The sequence below is a fragment of the Homo sapiens genome, chromosome 9 (assembly GCF_000001405.40).
Source record: "Homo sapiens chromosome 9, GRCh38.p14 Primary Assembly".
Lineage (NCBI taxonomy): Eukaryota > Metazoa > Chordata > Mammalia > Primates > Hominidae > Homo > Homo sapiens.
This window is the reverse complement of record NC_000009.12, coordinates 1,759,804-1,776,438: the sequence shown is the minus strand read 5'-3', so window position 1 is coordinate 1,776,438 and position 16,635 is coordinate 1,759,804. Positions and strand designations below refer to the sequence as shown.

At 39.4% G+C, this 16,635-nt stretch overlaps 1 long non-coding RNA gene across 1 annotated transcript in view, besides 3 other annotated features; it reads right to left on the bottom strand.

The window, feature by feature from the left end:
- LOC105375951 (uncharacterized) overlaps nt 1-16,635 on the bottom strand; it is a 261,361-nt gene that overhangs the window by 186,259 nt on the left and 58,467 nt on the right. The gene's annotated exons all lie outside the window — the stretch shown is intronic.
- Nucleotides 4,625-5,126: an enhancer, noted in NCBI's record as "H3K27ac hESC enhancer chr9:1771313-1771814 (GRCh37/hg19 assembly coordinates)". NCBI's record gives its function as "activates a minimal SCP1, AML or CMV promoter by ChIP-STARR-seq in primed H9 embryonic stem cells {active_cell/tissue: H9 hESC(primed)}" and the evidence as "EXISTENCE:reporter gene assay evidence [ECO:0000049][PMID:30033119]".
- Nucleotides 16,240-16,289: an enhancer, noted in NCBI's record as "active region_28127". NCBI's record gives its function as "activates an Ori minimal core promoter by ATAC-STARR-seq in GM12878 lymphoblastoid cells {active_cell/tissue: GM12878}" and the evidence as "EXISTENCE:reporter gene assay evidence [ECO:0000049][PMID:35858748]".
- Nucleotides 16,410-16,459: an enhancer, noted in NCBI's record as "active region_28126". NCBI's record gives its function as "activates an Ori minimal core promoter by ATAC-STARR-seq in GM12878 lymphoblastoid cells {active_cell/tissue: GM12878}" and the evidence as "EXISTENCE:reporter gene assay evidence [ECO:0000049][PMID:35858748]".

The window sequence follows — 16,635 nt, the reverse complement described above, 5'->3', positions numbered from 1 at the left end:
GTAAGACCAGGGAATCTACAACCCGACTCTGTAGCTATTTTCCCATTTACTAAATGCATAGAAGGAAGAGGCAGGTATACTCTGCAACCGGCACAGTATACACATTGAATACTCTGGTTACCACCTCAGCCATGCAATGAGGGCTATTATGGTAGGAAAGGCCAAGTGGAACCACCTGGAATGCATTTTCTAGCAAAACAATAAATAAAAAATGTTAATGCTTTCTTGAAGGAGATGCAGAGATTAGTTCCACTACCAAAGATTTGCAGGGTGATGATTGCTATTACATTCTCTTTTGTCTCCTTATTTAGCTCGTGCAAAAGATGGAATGCTCTTGGAGAATAAAAGTATATTATCACAAACTTAATCAGGCAGTGACTCCAATTGCATTTACAATTCCAACTGTGGCCTATTTACTGGGGCACATCCAGTATAAACCTTGCAAACTGATAAGCAGATATTGATTTGGCATATGCTTTCTTCTCTATACTAGTAGGCAGAATCACCAGAAGCAGTTTGCTTTCACTTGGAAGAGACAGCATTATACCATTATTGACTTTCCTCAGGGGTATGTCAACTTTCTGGCCCTCCCACAGAAACCAGTCTTTTTCTACTCAAAGTGTGATCTGCAGATCAGCTGTGTTACCGTCACCTGGCAGATTGTTAGAAATGCAGAAACTCAGTTCTTATTGCAGACCTACTGAATTTTTCTATGCACATTAAAGTTTGAGAAGGACTGATCTTGTCTAAAGTGACTTTGATCACATCACCATCTCATATAGAGTGTCACACTGGTCCACTAAATAGATAACAAGGCTGGTTAAACCTGGAAGTAACAAATACTCAAAGTGAATTTGTGAAGTATTATATAAATATTAGAGGGTGGTAAAAAAGATCCTATGAAAATTCAGGGGCCTGCTACCTCAGTGAGGTTTCTAGGAGTCCAGGAATCTGAGGAATGTTGAGAGATCCTGTTTAAAGAGAAAGACAAATCATTGTACTTTGTACCTCCTACTGCTAAGATAGAATTAGAATAATTAGTGAAGATCTTCTGCTATTCTACTCATTTACTGAGTGTTTACCCAGTTGCCAGTTGTGACTAGAGCCCAGAGCAAGAGGAAGTTTTGTGGCAGGTCCAGTGAAAGCTGATTTTCCATTTTAGCCATATGACCATCAGATTCAATTGTAATATAATTTTCTATGATTCATGTGGTTTTGACACGGTGTCTTTGGTAATCCTAATGAGAAAAATTACAAAGTGTAACTCTAGAATTTGGAAAGAAATCCATGTCCTGTTTTGCAAAGAATTATTCTCATTTTGGAAGCACAGTAATGGCTTTCTGCTAAGCCCTAAAGAATACTGTACAACTGACCTTACAACACCAAGTAACTATGCCACCTGAGTTACACCTTGTGAACTTGGTATGGTATACTCTACCAAGACATAAATTTGGGCATGTGTAACAAACTTTCAACATCAAATGGAAGTGCTATATATGAAACTGGATTTTAGCAGGAAATGAATTCACAAGTAAGTTCATGTACAGGCAGCTGACTCTTATGGTACCTACTATTATTGCACAGTCACTTCTTCCTTAATCCATACACAGAATTTCACATCAACAGTTGTAAGAGAGAACAAACTTAGGCCTGTTTTACACAGATAATTCCACATAAAATGCTGTTACAACTCCAAATTGGACCACTTCAGTTTTATGGGGATATTCTGAGATGACCCTGAAAGATAATGATGGAAAGGAAATACTTTCAGCAGAACTTTTAGTAGTGCATATACTTGTTATTTTTACCTAGATGGATAGATATACAAATGTAAAAATTTATGGCAATTTATGGGCACTGACTAATGGTTTGGCCAGATGGTCAAAGGGAGTGCATTTGAGGAGCACCGACATGGAAAACTAAGGAAGAAGTACATAGATGGAATAATCTCAGAATCGACATAAGGCATGAGAACATTTGTACCCATGCGAATGCTCACAAAAAGCTTTCCTTCAAAAGGAGTCTCCTGTTAATCAAGTGGACAAGATAGATTTTCCTGTGGGTTCCAGTAAAGTCTCTTTCTCTAGCCATGGGTTTATGAACAAAGTGGCCTTGGCAGGAAGCATGGAAGTTAAAGTTAATGAATGGGCTTAACAACATGGATTAACAGTCACTGTTGAGTGCCCAAAATGTCAACAGCAGAGACAACATGAGTGCTCGATATAGTGTCATTCCTAGGGGAGACTAGACTAGCCAATCCTTTGGTGTCGAGTAATTTAATTAAAATGCACTATCATAAATAAATCTGCAATTTTTACTTACTAGAATAAACACTTACTCTACAAGTTATTTGCTTACTCTCCATGCAGTGATTTTACCAGAAACTTCATCTGTAGAATTACTGAATATCTTTTGCATCATCAAGGTATTACACTTGACATTACTTCTGGCCAAGAAACTCACTTTATAGCAAAATAGTAGATACACAACTATGATAGCAACTGATTCTGTCTAGCCTGTAACCCCAATGTAACTGATCTAGTAGAAGAGTGGAACAACCTACTGATGACCCTGCTATGGTGCATGCACAGTTGTGAATCTGGGAAAATGTAATATGACTCCATACGTTTTCTTGAGTCAGCAACCAGTAATGGCACAGTTTTTCCTATAGCTAATATATACAATTCTTAGAACAAAGGGGTAAAAGTGCCCTTATCTGTTATCTTCTAATAACCTACCCCAAAATCATTTGCTTCCTGTTGTTGTAGCTTTGGGCTCTCTAACTCAAAGATATAAATTCCCAAGGAAGGCGTGTTTCCACTAGTGGCACAGTAATAATTGCAATCAACTGGAAGTTGAGGATACTCCCTGGGCACCTTGGGCTTCTTATACCAATTAGCCATAATGCTATATACCTAATGCTTAAGGAAAAGCAGCATGTGGTGCTAGCTGGAGATATCAATTTTGCTGGGTTGTCAGGGAAAAATGGGGGCAGTTTCCTAACGTTGTACAGCAGGGCAGAAAGGAGTAGTCTGAAATCAGAATATTCTCTTGTGAGACTCTTAGAACTTACTGGTTATAGAATAAAAGTTATTGGGAGACTATAGCAATGCAATGCTGGGAGGACCACTAATGGCTCTATAATTGAAGGTTTGTGCTATGGTTTGAATGTTCGTGTCCCTCCAAAATTCATGTTGAAATTTAATCCCCAAAGCATTACTATTAAGAGGTGGAGTATTTAAGAGGAGGTTATGTCATGAGGGCTCTGCACTCATGAACAGGTGTAGTGACCTTATGAAAAGGCTTAAGGGAATCTGTTTGCCTCTTTTGCCTTTCCACCTAACAACACAGCAACAATATGCCACTTTGGAAGCAGAGAACAAGCCTTTATCAGACACCAAATCTGCTGGCACCTTGATCTTGGACTTCCCAGACTCCAGGACTGTGAGAAATAAATTTGTATCATAAATTACCCATTCTAAGTTATTTCTTTATAGTAGCCCAAATGCACTGAGACAGAAAATGGTACCAAAAACTTGAGTGCTGTTGTAACAAATACCTAAACATGTCGAAGCTGCTTTAGAACTGGGTAATGGGCAGAGGCTGAAAGTATTTCGAAGAGCAGGCTACAAAAATCCCATATCGCCATGAACGGATCATAAAGGGGCATTCTGGTCAGTGCTCAGAAGAAGAGAGCTGTAGACAGAGCCTCAATCTTCTTGGAGATTACTTAAGTGATTATGATTAGAATGTTGGTAGAAATATGGATAACAAAGGCCATTTCAATGAGGTCTCACATAAAAATAAGGAACATGCTATTACAAACTGGAAGACAGGCTGTCTTTGTTATGAAGAGGCAAAGAACTTGGCTGAATTGTGTTTATGTCCTAGATACTTGTGCAAGCAGAACTTAAAAGAAATCTATTAGTTGGTGCAAAAGTAATTGTGGTTTTTGCCATTAAAACTAATGGCAACATATAATTGGATATTTGGCAGAAGAAATCTCTCAGCAAAGTGTTAAAGGTGAAGCATAGCTTCTTGTGACTGCTTACAGAAAAAAAAATAAAGAGAGAAACAAAGATGAAATTTATAATTGAAGGGAAGCAGAACTTAAAGATTTAAAAATTTTCATTCTGGCCATGTTAAGAATGAAAAAGCATGCCCAGGAGAGAACACCAAAGTTATAGCCAAGTAAGTGTTTGATAAAAAGACTAGTAAGGACAGAAGAAGGTCAGATATTATTCGTCAAGACAATGGAAGAATGACCCCAAAGACATTTTTGGAGATCTTCAAGGCAGCCATTTTCATCATAAACCCAGAGTGCTAGGACCTTGAGGACAGAACATTTTCAGGGAGGGGCCCAGCATGCCCATAGGACCTCAGAGATTACTGCCCAGAACTACCTCAGGTTTCTGCTTCACACATTCTGGAGCCATGTACTTTGGCTGCCCCAGGTGTGACTCCAGTGGGCCCAGGTGCAGTGCATCCTGCCATCGCCTCCCCTCTGGAAGGTGGAGGCCATAAACTTCCATGGCAGGCATGTAGTGCTAACTCTGTAGGTGTGCAGAGTGCAGGAGTTGTGGGGTTGGGGCCACCACAGAGAGCCTTCACTAGGCCAATGCCTACTGTAGTCTTGAGTGTGGGGTCGCCACAGAGAATACCCGCTAGGGCAATGCCCAGAGGAGCTGTGAGGTCAGGGCCACTACAGAAACCCCCCATTAGGGCAACAACTAGTGCAGCCATGTGGACAGGACCAACATGCAGACATCAAACTAGGAGAGCCACTAACATTGTAACTCCACCCCAGGAGAGCTGCAGGCATGTGACTACAACTCATGAGAGTTATTGCGTGGGCTACACCCAGAAAAGCCATAGGGCAGGGCTGCTCAGAGCCTTGGGGGCCCAGCCTCTGCCTCAGTGTGTTCAGAAGGTGGAACATGGACTCAAAAAGATTATTCTCATGCCTCAAGATTTAGTAGTTTTTGCCTTGTTGGCTTTTGGACTTATGTGGGAACTGTTACCCCTTTCTTCTTGCCTATTTCACCCTTTTGGAATGAAAATACCTATCCTATGTTTGTCCCAACTATTGTATTTTGAAAGCACATAACTTTTTCGATTTCACAGGCTTACAGCTGGAGGGGGAATTTGTTGCAGGATGAATCATACCTTAAGTATCACCCATATCTGATTTAGATGTTATTCAGGTGAGATTTTGGACTTTAACCTTAAAATTGATGCTGGAATGAGCTAAGGCCTTGGGTCTGTTGGGATGTAATGAATGTATTTTGTATGTGAGAAGGACATACATGGGGGGATGGGGCAGGAACAAAATCCTATAATTTGAACGTCTGTGTCCCTTCAAAGTTCAAGTTGAAACTTAATCCCTAATGCAATAGTATTAAAAAAGTGGTGCCTTTAGGAGGTGACTCAGTCCTGAGCTCAGAGCCCTCGTGAGTGGGAATTAGTGCCCTTATAAAATGGCTTGAGGAAGTGTGTTTACCTCTTTCAACCCTCTGCTTTTCCACTATATGAAGACACAGTAGCAAGGGACCATTTTGGAAGGAGAGAACAAGCCTTCACCAGACACTGAATCTGTTGGTGCCCTGATTTTGGACTTCCCAGCCCCTAGAACTGTGAGAAATAAATTTCTGTTCTTTATAAATTACTGCATCTAAGATACTTTGTTATAGCAGCCTGAACAGACAGAGACAGCTTGGGACAGAATTAGTTATCCTAGCCGGGGTAAGCAGAACATGACAAACCAGGAAGAACAAATATAACCAGCATGGTTTCATGACCAGTTTCAGAAATGAGGACTGTCCTAGCTATACATATTTTGTTTCTAGTTTTATTATGTATATTTTATATATTAATCAATAATTTATTTCTCCTTGCTTAAATTACAGAATATCAAAAGAGGACTCATTGAGAAAAGAAATGAGAATTACTCAGAGAAAATATAGAATAACTTAAGAAGTTTTTGTTTTTCATTTTGGGAAACAGAAGGTGAAAATATAGAATAACTTCAGAAATTTTTGTTTTTCATTTTGGGAAACAGAGTGAGCACATCTTTGATTATACAAGGTATAGGTGTATATGTTAGCCATAAGCCTTTGTTTTTGTTATTTGAAAATTTATATATGGGTAGAGAAATGTGTATAATTCCTAAGTTGATAAAGGGGTGCACAGCATCAGACTATTTTCAACTATACAACACCCTCGATACCTTCTGTATTTTCTTTTGAATTGCAGAGAAGAAGTCTGGCTCTGTATTTCACAGAATTACTTTCCTTACATGATTCTAGCAATTGTGAAAGATTTGAAAGTGGAAGAGAAAGGTAAGTCATTATTTCCGCAACAGCAATAGACAGCCAAAATGATCTGCAACAGCTTCCCTTGACTTTGAGGAATTTTTCTAAAATTAGGCATTTATGGGACTTTCCATGGATTCCAGTCAGACTTTTAAGAATCATCACTGAAGTACTGCAGATATCTGAAATCACCAGAACTGGCTTCTATTGGGCCCCTAAAGTCATGAGAATCACATATCAGTGCTGCAGGCAGTTGAGATTATTGTTGGCAGCTTCTCTATGATCCTTATACTTCCTGATCTCTCCCAAGGAGATTTTCCTGATGTGTACTCCCTAGCTATTCCCATCATGGTGTAGGTTTCTAATTTCTTATAATAATTCTCTTTCCATTTGAAATCCCCAGAGTGAGGCAGTCAATTATCAGGATATATCAACTATTTAGAAGCAAGAAAAGACCTGTTAATTAACTTAAATAGATAAAATAAAGACCAAGTACATTTTATTTATAGGAAGAGTTATCAGGCTCTTACTTAGAGTCTATCTATGTTTTTACAGATAACCCTAATAAGCTTGGTCATCTGTATCCCCAAGAGACAAACAGAGGCAGCAAATTGGAAAGAAGGAAGCCACTATCTGAAGCAGAGATTCCGATAGCACCAGTGACTGGACACCATTAGCAGGGTAGTTTTACTGACTCTTTTACATAATAGTGAATATAATAACTCAAAACATTTAGAAGTCTGGGGTCATTTAGTGGAGGAGTCAACATTTTATATAACAAAAGCCCCTAAAGGTATTATTGCCATATCAATCAACAATCATGATAACCTTCAAAATGAAGAAAAAATTATACCATATTCAGAATAATTTATTTAAGAAACTAGGGAGTTGTGTGTAATCCGTTTAGGAAAATATCTTTTTCTATCAAAACTTCAAATATTCTGAATCAAAATCTTGTGGGTGGGAGAGTCCAGAAAGGTACATTTGCTGGTTCACCCCTTCCCCCCGCAACTCTAATATACAGCCACAGCCAGGGTTGAGAACTACTGATCCAGTCAACGATCTCTCCAGAAAATGACGCCTGGGAATAAAAACAAATCTCTAATTTCTATTCTCACCTGTCACCTCCAGCTGTCAAACATCATCTAAGCTACTCCACTATAGCCACAGTGGCTTTTCTGTTAGATAACTGCTATCTTGTTGCCCCACACATCTGGATCCAGTTTCTCCCACATCTTGACACCAACTCCTATAGAAAGCATTCATTAGACAATCAGATAACTTTAAGATAATTATGCTATGCCTCAACTCTCTCCAATTTATACATTCTTGTCTTTTTATCACTCTGTAAACATATTCACGGGAAGTCTCTGAGATCTTTTCAGTGGTTTCCTGTTCATCACTACGCTTCCTGTCTGATTCCCCATCCCTCTGTGTAACCAGCTGGGTTCCTAATTCCTGATTTATCTGCCGTATTGGATTTATCTCTAAATTACAAATACCAGCCCAGGGTTTGCCACATACTTGGTTCTCTACAAACATTTGCTGAACAGAGTCTTGGTATCTGAGCCACAGTTACCTGCAGACTCCTAATTCTAATTTAAACTTTCTGCCTCCTAGACCTTTGACATATGGTACTAAAAATTACCAGCTGGAGCCCAAACTCAAACATGTAGGCATTTTACTGCATCAGGATTGGAGGACCAGAAGGGCAGGAACTAACTGGTGAATCACAGCCTGAAGAGAATATTGAAGAGGAAAGTAAGTGTTATCCTGTGAATCAAGTTGATGATGAGGGAAGATAGAAAATGGGGGAAATGGCAAAGGAAAGGAGCTTAAAAAAAAAGAGGCCCCAAGACTATGCTATGTATTCCTGAGTCAAATTTGAACAGCTAAGATTAGGACCATTTTGATATTTTGAAAGCTGTAGTAGCCAGTGTCCAAGATGACCCTCAGTGATCCCCATCTCCTGGTATTCACGCCTTTGTGTAATCCACTCCCACATTGTACCAGGGCTGGTCTGTGCAGTCAATAGCATAAGGCGAAAGTGTAAAATGTGATCTGAGGCTATGTCTTAAAAGCCAGTGTGGCTTCTGCCTTGTTCTCTTTTGTGGGTCACTTTCTCTGAGGGATGCCAAGTGCCCTGATGTAAGGATACTCAGGTGGCCAATGGAAAGGCCCATATGAAGAGAAATGGAGGTCTCTAGCCAACAGCCAGCAAAGAACAGAGGACTACCAATGGCCACAGGATTGAACCCCAGTAGAGCCTTGAGATGACTACAGCCCCGGCTGACCACTTAACTACAACCTGTGAGAGACGCTGATCCAGAACCATCCAGTTAAGCCATCTCTGGATTCCTGACCTTCAGAAACTGAGTGAGATAAATGTTTGTTGTATTAAGTTGTTAAATTTTGAGAAAATTTGTTTCACAGGAATAGAGAACTAAAACAAAAGTCTGAACTGGAGGTTGCAAATTGAGGACTGGAGGAAACTTCTGGTATGCTGACAAGATTTTGTTTCATAGGGTAGAAAGAGTGTTTTTAAAAATTCAATTAATTGTCAACAGTTACATTTGGAAGATTTTTTTAAATCGCAGTTTCTTACTTTCTTTAAAAAAGAAAAAGGTAACACAGCCTTATTCTTATGACTCTGTTGCCTTGGATGTGGTCTATTCCATTTGTTTAAATACCACTAGGCGTTCGATTGTGCTACCCTTGGTCCAGATTTATCTAACAAGAAATGATTTTATTCATCTTATAATTTCTTTGTTTTATCAGGAACTCTCTGTCTGCATATAGGAGTATTTATTTATTTTTATTTTTTATTTATTTAAGATTTCACTAAATCAAAGAGTTCTGCTATAAAATTGCCTGGTCATTAGAAACACCTGGGAAACCCTAAAATGTAAAGATCTCCAATCATGGATTATTGCAAATGTGGTTATTTTATGATTATATTTCTATATTTGAAAAGAAAGGTCAAACTCTCTCTCCCCTCCTCCTGGAGATGGAGCAAGACTATAAAAATTAGTGTGGAATGGGGGTTTGGTACAAGGAACACATGATTCACAATGGCTGATCACACAGAGTAGATCTTTTGAAACAGGTCCTTAGGAGGTATGGGGGGAGTAGAGCATTAAAATCGGAAGACAAAATAGCAATGCCAAGTCAAGGGGGACAGGAATGGGATTAAGGATAAGAAATGGAGCCAAGAGGACAAAGGATTGAGAATAGGCGACCAGGAAGAAGCAGAAGGAGTCTAGGATGACTGCAGTGAAAAGCTCTGGGGTTTCTGCAGTTCTCTCTTCTTAATCCATGGATACTGAGGCATGATAATGATGTACCAATGGATCTTTAGGAACTCTGACAAATAAAGGACTGCTTTGAAAATTTATCATAAAGACTATCCACATGATATGACTGGTTTCTGGCAATCCAGCTCTTCTAGGTACAGAAAATCCCATGGATTACTTCCAATTATTTTGTTTCCTCCTTTGAAATGTTCTGATATTTCAATGCACTAGGGCAGTGGTGAGCAGGCTTCCTTGGGAGAAAGGGAAAAATATCAAGGCCAGGTGACACAATGGTCTCTTGGGACAATGACCTGATAGGTTTAAGTGAAAAATGACACTTAAACATTTGTGCATATTTAGTTGAAAGGAATTATGTTCACATGCAGATCATATATTTGGCTCATTTCATAAACACACGTTTTATGCCATGCATTTGAGAAATGTGAAGGCAAGCCAAGTTTTGTACAGCCCACATCATTTTACACATTTGGTAAGGTTAATAGTAAAATTCTAAGCAACTGATTTAGGTGCTTTTTAAAATTTGAAGATCCTACAGCTGATTATAGAATTTGAGGAAGTGGGACAGCCTCGGCAAATTTCTTCCTTTCTTTAGTTACCAGAGAAGAGTAGAGGTAAGAATTGCTAGGCAGGAAAGAATGGCTTTGCTAGTCTCCACAGTTCTTTTTCCCCACCATGTTCCTTCAGGCAAAAGTTAGCCTATATTTCTAAGTGTCTGGATATAAACATGCCTGTATTAAAATATTTTCCTTGTTTATAATTTTATGATTTATCTATATATCTTTATTTTTGGCTACTGTGGCTTTTTACAGCTTTCTAATTTATATAGCCATTTGTTTAGGCTGTCAAAACATTTTTAATTTTAATTACTGTGTATCATGCCTGAGGGTGTAAAACTGTCAGATAAATCTGAGACTCTGCATAAACATGTGGGGAACTGCATGTGTTATCGCTCAACAATTGCTAGTGGGCAGTTAGCAAATGCCTTTCCAGAGGGTTCGCTGGCTGGCTTCTTTCTCCCCTTCATGGAGACACAGGATGATGTTGTCAGATGGGGTGCTGGACATCTCGTCACACATCACGTGTCATTGACCTCGGCACCAAAAGCTCAAGACTGTGATAGACCAGTTGTTGGCTGGGGAGCCCTGCAGATGGATTATAGGAGAGCACTTAATGTTCAAGCTTATCACACTGAGGAGCTGGATAATCAACCTGGCACTTCATTTTTAAAAAGAAAAATAACTGGAGAAGAGGAGCCAAACTTAAAAAATAGGGTAGTATATTTGGTTGGCAAAATGTGATCAGAGATCTTGTTTCTTTTTCTTAAAGTCTCAGTAGTAGTATTGATATATGCATCCATCCGTCAATTTATTATACATCTAATAGTTTTGTATTTGGGATCAGAAGATTGAGCTTAAGCTCAAGACTTGGTGTTGTCATTTACTAGCTATGGTAACCTTGGACAAATTCTTTCTTTTCTTTTTTTAAATTATACTTTAAGTTCTGGGATACATGTGCAAAATGTGCAGGTTTGTTACATAGGTATATATACGCCATGGTGGTCTGCTGCACCCATCAACCCATCATCTACATTAGGTATTTCTCCTAATGCTATCCCTTCCCTTGCCCCCAACCCCTGACAGGCCCCGGTGTGATGTTCCCTTCCCTGTGTCCATATGTTCTCATTGTTCAATTCCCACTTATGAGTGAGAACATGCAGTGTTTGGTTTTCTGTTTCTGTGTTAGTTTGCTGAGAATGATGGTTTCCAGCTACATCCATGTCCCTGCAAAGGACATGAACTCATCCTTTCTTACGGCTGCATAGTATTCCACGGTGTATATGTGTCATATTTTCTTTATCCAGTCTATCATTGATGGGCATTTGGGTTAGTTGCAAGTCTTCGCTATTGTGAACACCGCTGAAATAAACATACATGTGCATGTATCTTTATAGTATAATGATTTACAATCCTTTGGGTATATACCCAGTAATGGGATCGCTGGGTCAAATGGTATTTCTGGTTCTAGATCCTTGAGGAATCGCTACACTGTCTTCCACAATGGCTAAACTAATTTACACTCCCACCAACAGTGTGAAAGCATTCCTATTTCTCCACATCCTCTCCAGCATCTGTTGTTTCCTGACTTTTTAATGATCGCCATTCTAACTGGTGTGAGATGGTATCTTATTGTGGTTTTGAGTTGCATTACTCTAATGATCAGTGATGATGAGCTTTTTTTATACGTTTGTTGACTGCATAAAATAAATGGTGTTGGGAAAACTGGCTAGCCATATGCAGAAGACTGAAATTAGACCCCTTCCTTACACCTTATACAAAAATTAACTCAAGATGGATTAAAGATTTAAATGTTAGACCTAAAACCATAAAAACCCTAGAAGAAAACCTAGGCAATACCATTCAGGACACAGGCATGGGCAAAGACTTCATGACCAAAACACCAAAAGCAATGGCAGCAAGAGCCAAAATTGACAAATGGGATCTAATTAAACTAAAGAGCTTCTGCACAGCAAAAGAAACTATCAGCAGAGTGAACAGGCAACCTACAGAATGGGAGAAAACTTTTGCAATCTACCCATCTGACAAATGGCTAATATCCAGAATCTACAAGGAACTTAAACAAATTTACAAGAAAAAAACAAACAACCCATCAAAAAGTTGGCAAAAGATATGAACAAACATTTTTCAAAAGAAGGCCAAATTTTTTAATTGTAGGTTTATACTCTAGTCAGCTGAAAAGCTTTTAGAGGTAATCTAGCACTTCATCCAATATGAAGTCTAGATTTACCATGAGATATGGATCTGGACTATATCTGTGTTTATCTTACGACAATGTAATATAATTTCTTTTCTTTTTCTTTTTCTTTTTTTTTTTTTCAGACAGGGTCTCACACTGCTGCCCAGGCTGGAGTGCAGCTCACTGCAACCTCCACTTCCTGGGCTCAACCTATCCTCCAGCCTCAGCCTCCAAAGTGGCTGGGACCACAGATGCATGCCACCACTCCCAGTAAATTTGTTTTTCTTAGAGATGGGGGTTTGCCATGTTGCCCAGGCTGGTCTTGAACTTGTGAACTCAAAGCAATCTGCCTGCCTCAGCCTCCCAAAGTGCTGTGATGACAGGAATGAGCCACCGTGCCTAGCCTATAATTACATCTCTCTTATGATTCTTTTAATGTCAATTTTAGGGGAGACTCAATGCCCAGAGAAGGTTGCCCCCACCCTCTGCCTATTATTCATAGTCCCAGTCACTGAGTTCAAGAACCAAGAGGGCATGGGGCAATGAGAATGATGATAGGGATTCCCTTCTGCAGTCTGCTTTTGCTGGTCTTTTCTGTCTTTTACCCCTGACGTGCCTGAGGCACATTAGTAAGGCAATCTGCTTCAGTATGCATTTCAACCAATTGAACTGTTAGTTGTGACATTGTGTTTTCCAAAGGAGTTATTGTTTCTAGCATATGATCTCAACCAGGTAGGAGGATTTGTAATATGGTGTTTAAATAATTATTGGTGTGGAATCTTTCAGACAAAAAGCCATTGTAGAAAAGTGAAGAGTCTTATAATTTTGCTTGGTAACTTACAGAAAATGTATGGACTGCATAAGTCACATGCATCAAAAAAATAGTCTTCTTCCATTTAGACTTTGATGGAAAAGTGCTTAGCTCAAGGAAGAATTTTTTCTAAAAAAACACCATTTTATCATCTTCGATATAGGAAAGTATTGCTGACCTAGCACATCAAGACTCTGCTCTTTCTCCTTGGAAAAGTAATTCTTTTCCTCTCCTAATTTTCCAACATAAAATATCTCTCTTTTCCAGCCTGAGATTTGATATTCCCCTGTCATAGTGATTTGCTTCTTTTGGAGAACTTCATTCACTTGGGGTTTATTAGCAGTATTTGTTGAGTGTCTGCTATGCACCAGACAAGGAGCAGGGGATTTAAGAGGGAGTAAAAATAGACAATGTCCCAGCTTTGAGAGAATGTACAATTTAATAGGGGAGACAAATGTTCACCAAAATTTGCAGTAGTAAACTTCCAAGTAAAACTGAGATGTGTCCTGAAGAAAAGGAGCACAGTTCTATGAGAACATAAACCAAAGGACTCTGACCTCAGTTGGGGTCTGAAGGCCCTTCCCAGAGGAAGTTACACCGAGCTGAGATATGAAACAAGAAGTCAGAAGTGAGCTGTACTTTTGGAAGGATAGTGTTGAAAATTACTCACCTCCGTTAACAATATAGATGAGTGTAGGTTTGAAGAAAATCTGACTGTTTTTATCTCCCTGAATACCAACCACATAGTAGGAGCCAACAGCCAACTATGCCTCTGGTAATAAACATATAAATGCAGAATGAGTGTTTTTCTTTCCATTTTGCTTCCTTTCTTTCACTTCTGTTAATTCCACGTTGAAATGTTAAGAACGTCAATATTAATGTTGAAATATTATCATAGAAGCATGCTAATAAATTAATACAGAAAATATTAATTTCCATATTAGGAAATCAACTTGAGAAACATAACATCCATAATGCTAGTGATATTCAAGATTAATTTGCCTTGACCATGAAGAGGCAAACATGAAAGGAACTGTACCTGCCTGTCATTCAATTATTTGCATCAGCATAGGGGATAAAAGGAAGGCAGCTACACACCCATGCTCATAGCAGTGAGATTATTCACAATAGACAAGAAGTGGAAGCAACCCAAATGTCTATCAATGGATGAATGTATAAATAAAATGCAGTATAAACGTACAATGGCATATTATTCAGTCTTAAGAGGGAAGGAAATCCAGTCACATATTATGACGTGGATGAACCTTGAGAATATTATGCTAAATGAAATAGGCCAGTCACAAAAGAATAAACACTATAAGATACCATTCAGTGAGGTATCAAGAGTAGTCAGATTTATGGAAGCAAAGAGAACGGTGGTTACCAGGAACTGCAGGGAGGAGGGAACAAGGCATTCATGTTGAGTGGGTTTACAGTTTCCGTTTTACTAGATGAAAAAGTGAAAATGCTCTAATACTACTGAACTACACATTTGGAAATGGTTATAATGGTAAATGTTGTTATGTTGTTGTTTTTAAAATCTCAAAAGAAGAAAAAAGGAAGGCAAATAATATTGCACTAGTGTGTGTTCCAGGTACTTTATATGGACAGTGTCACTTAATCCTCTCTGTGCCATCACTGGGCAGGTGAGAAAAAAAACAGGTAAGTTCAATAGTTTCCCAGGTTATAGGATTCAGAAGCTGAAGATCTGGAATATAAATCCAAATATGTACCTATTTGTAAATAGAAATGCCATGGGTACAGAGTAGAGATTCATGATAATGAAAACAACAATAAAATTATAATAATGCATGAACATGTACTGTTCGCCACTGTGTTCTACTCACTTTCCTGATGGCTTTACCCACAATCTATTTAATCCTCAAAACTGTTTTTTTTTTATTTTTTTTATACTTTAAGTTTTAGGGTACATGTGCACATTGTGCAGGTTAGTTACATATGTATACATGTGCCATGCTGGTGCGCTGCACCCACTAACTCGTCATCTAGCATTAGGTATATCTCCCAATGCTATCCCTCCCCACTACCCCCACCCCACCACAGTCCCCAGAGTGTGATATTCCCCTTCCTGTGTCCATGTGATCTCATTGTTCAATTCCCACCTATGAGTGAGAACATGCGGTGTTTGGTTTTTTGTTCTTGCGACAGTTTACTGAGAATGATGATTTCCAATTTCATCCATGTCCCTACAAAGGACATGAACTCATCATTTTTTATGGCTGCATAGTATTCCATGGTGTACATGTGCCACATTTTCTTAATCCAGTCTACCATTGATGGACATTTGGGTTGAGAGGATGTGGAGAAATAGGAATGCTTTCACACTGTTGGTGGGACCGTAAACTAGTGCAACCATTGTGGAAGTCAGTGTGGCGACTCCTCAGGGATCTAGAACTAGAAATACCATTTGACCCAGCCATCCCATTACTGGGTATATACCCAAAGCACTATAAATCATGCTGCTATAAAGACACACGCACACGTATGTTTGTTGCGGCATTATTCACAATAGCAAAGACTTGGAACCAACCCTAATCCTCAAAACTTTTAGAAGTATTGTTATAGCAGCCACATTTTGCAGATGACGAAAGTTGAACTAAGTAGCCTGCTCAAGGTCACGCAGTCAGTAAGAGGCAGAGGCTTAAATTCAGGTCACCTAGCCCTAGACATTATGCTTTTACATCACATAACTCGAGAATGAGAATGTCAAATTTTGAATGCTTCTTACCATTTCAAGCCCCCTTTCCCATACATTATCCAGTGTAAAAAAAAATTAAGGCTGATGTGTGAGGTTGGCAAACAGCTATCACTGTCCCTATTTTACAGGAGATAATGCAGGAGAGCCATCTGGGAAGTTGGGAATCTTGTCTCAGGTCACACACTGACTACATGACAAAAGCTTTGAAACCAAGTCTCCTGACTTCTGGCCCATGCCCATTCTTCCCCACTACCTAGGTGAGATCTACCTCAGAAATTCCCCAGACCACCTCGGAGAGGGAGTAAACTTGAGTGTGTCACACACAGCCCTTATTTGGCATTCATTTCTCTGTGTCTGATTGCCAGCAGCCATAGATCAGGTGGGATTTGCGGATGAGGGCCTCTGATGACTCAGCCTTGGGGCAGGCCACAGGGAGTACCTTGCCTGGGGGCTCTCCTGGACTGCTGAGGAAGGCTTGGGCAAGTCTTTGCCCTGCTCCTTCCTGACATGCCCTCAGAGAACAGGATTTTTATTGGACATTTGGTGACAGGTGCACGATGTGAGCAGAAGGGACCTCGGTTTAATGTCTCATGAGACAAGCAGCACGTATTATACAGCTAGTGACTCACTACTAATTTACTGCCCTAGAAGACTGGTGTTTTCTGAAAGAACAGGAGGCAAGAGCAGAAACTGCTTTTTGTCCCAGACTTCTTTCACTGCAGATGT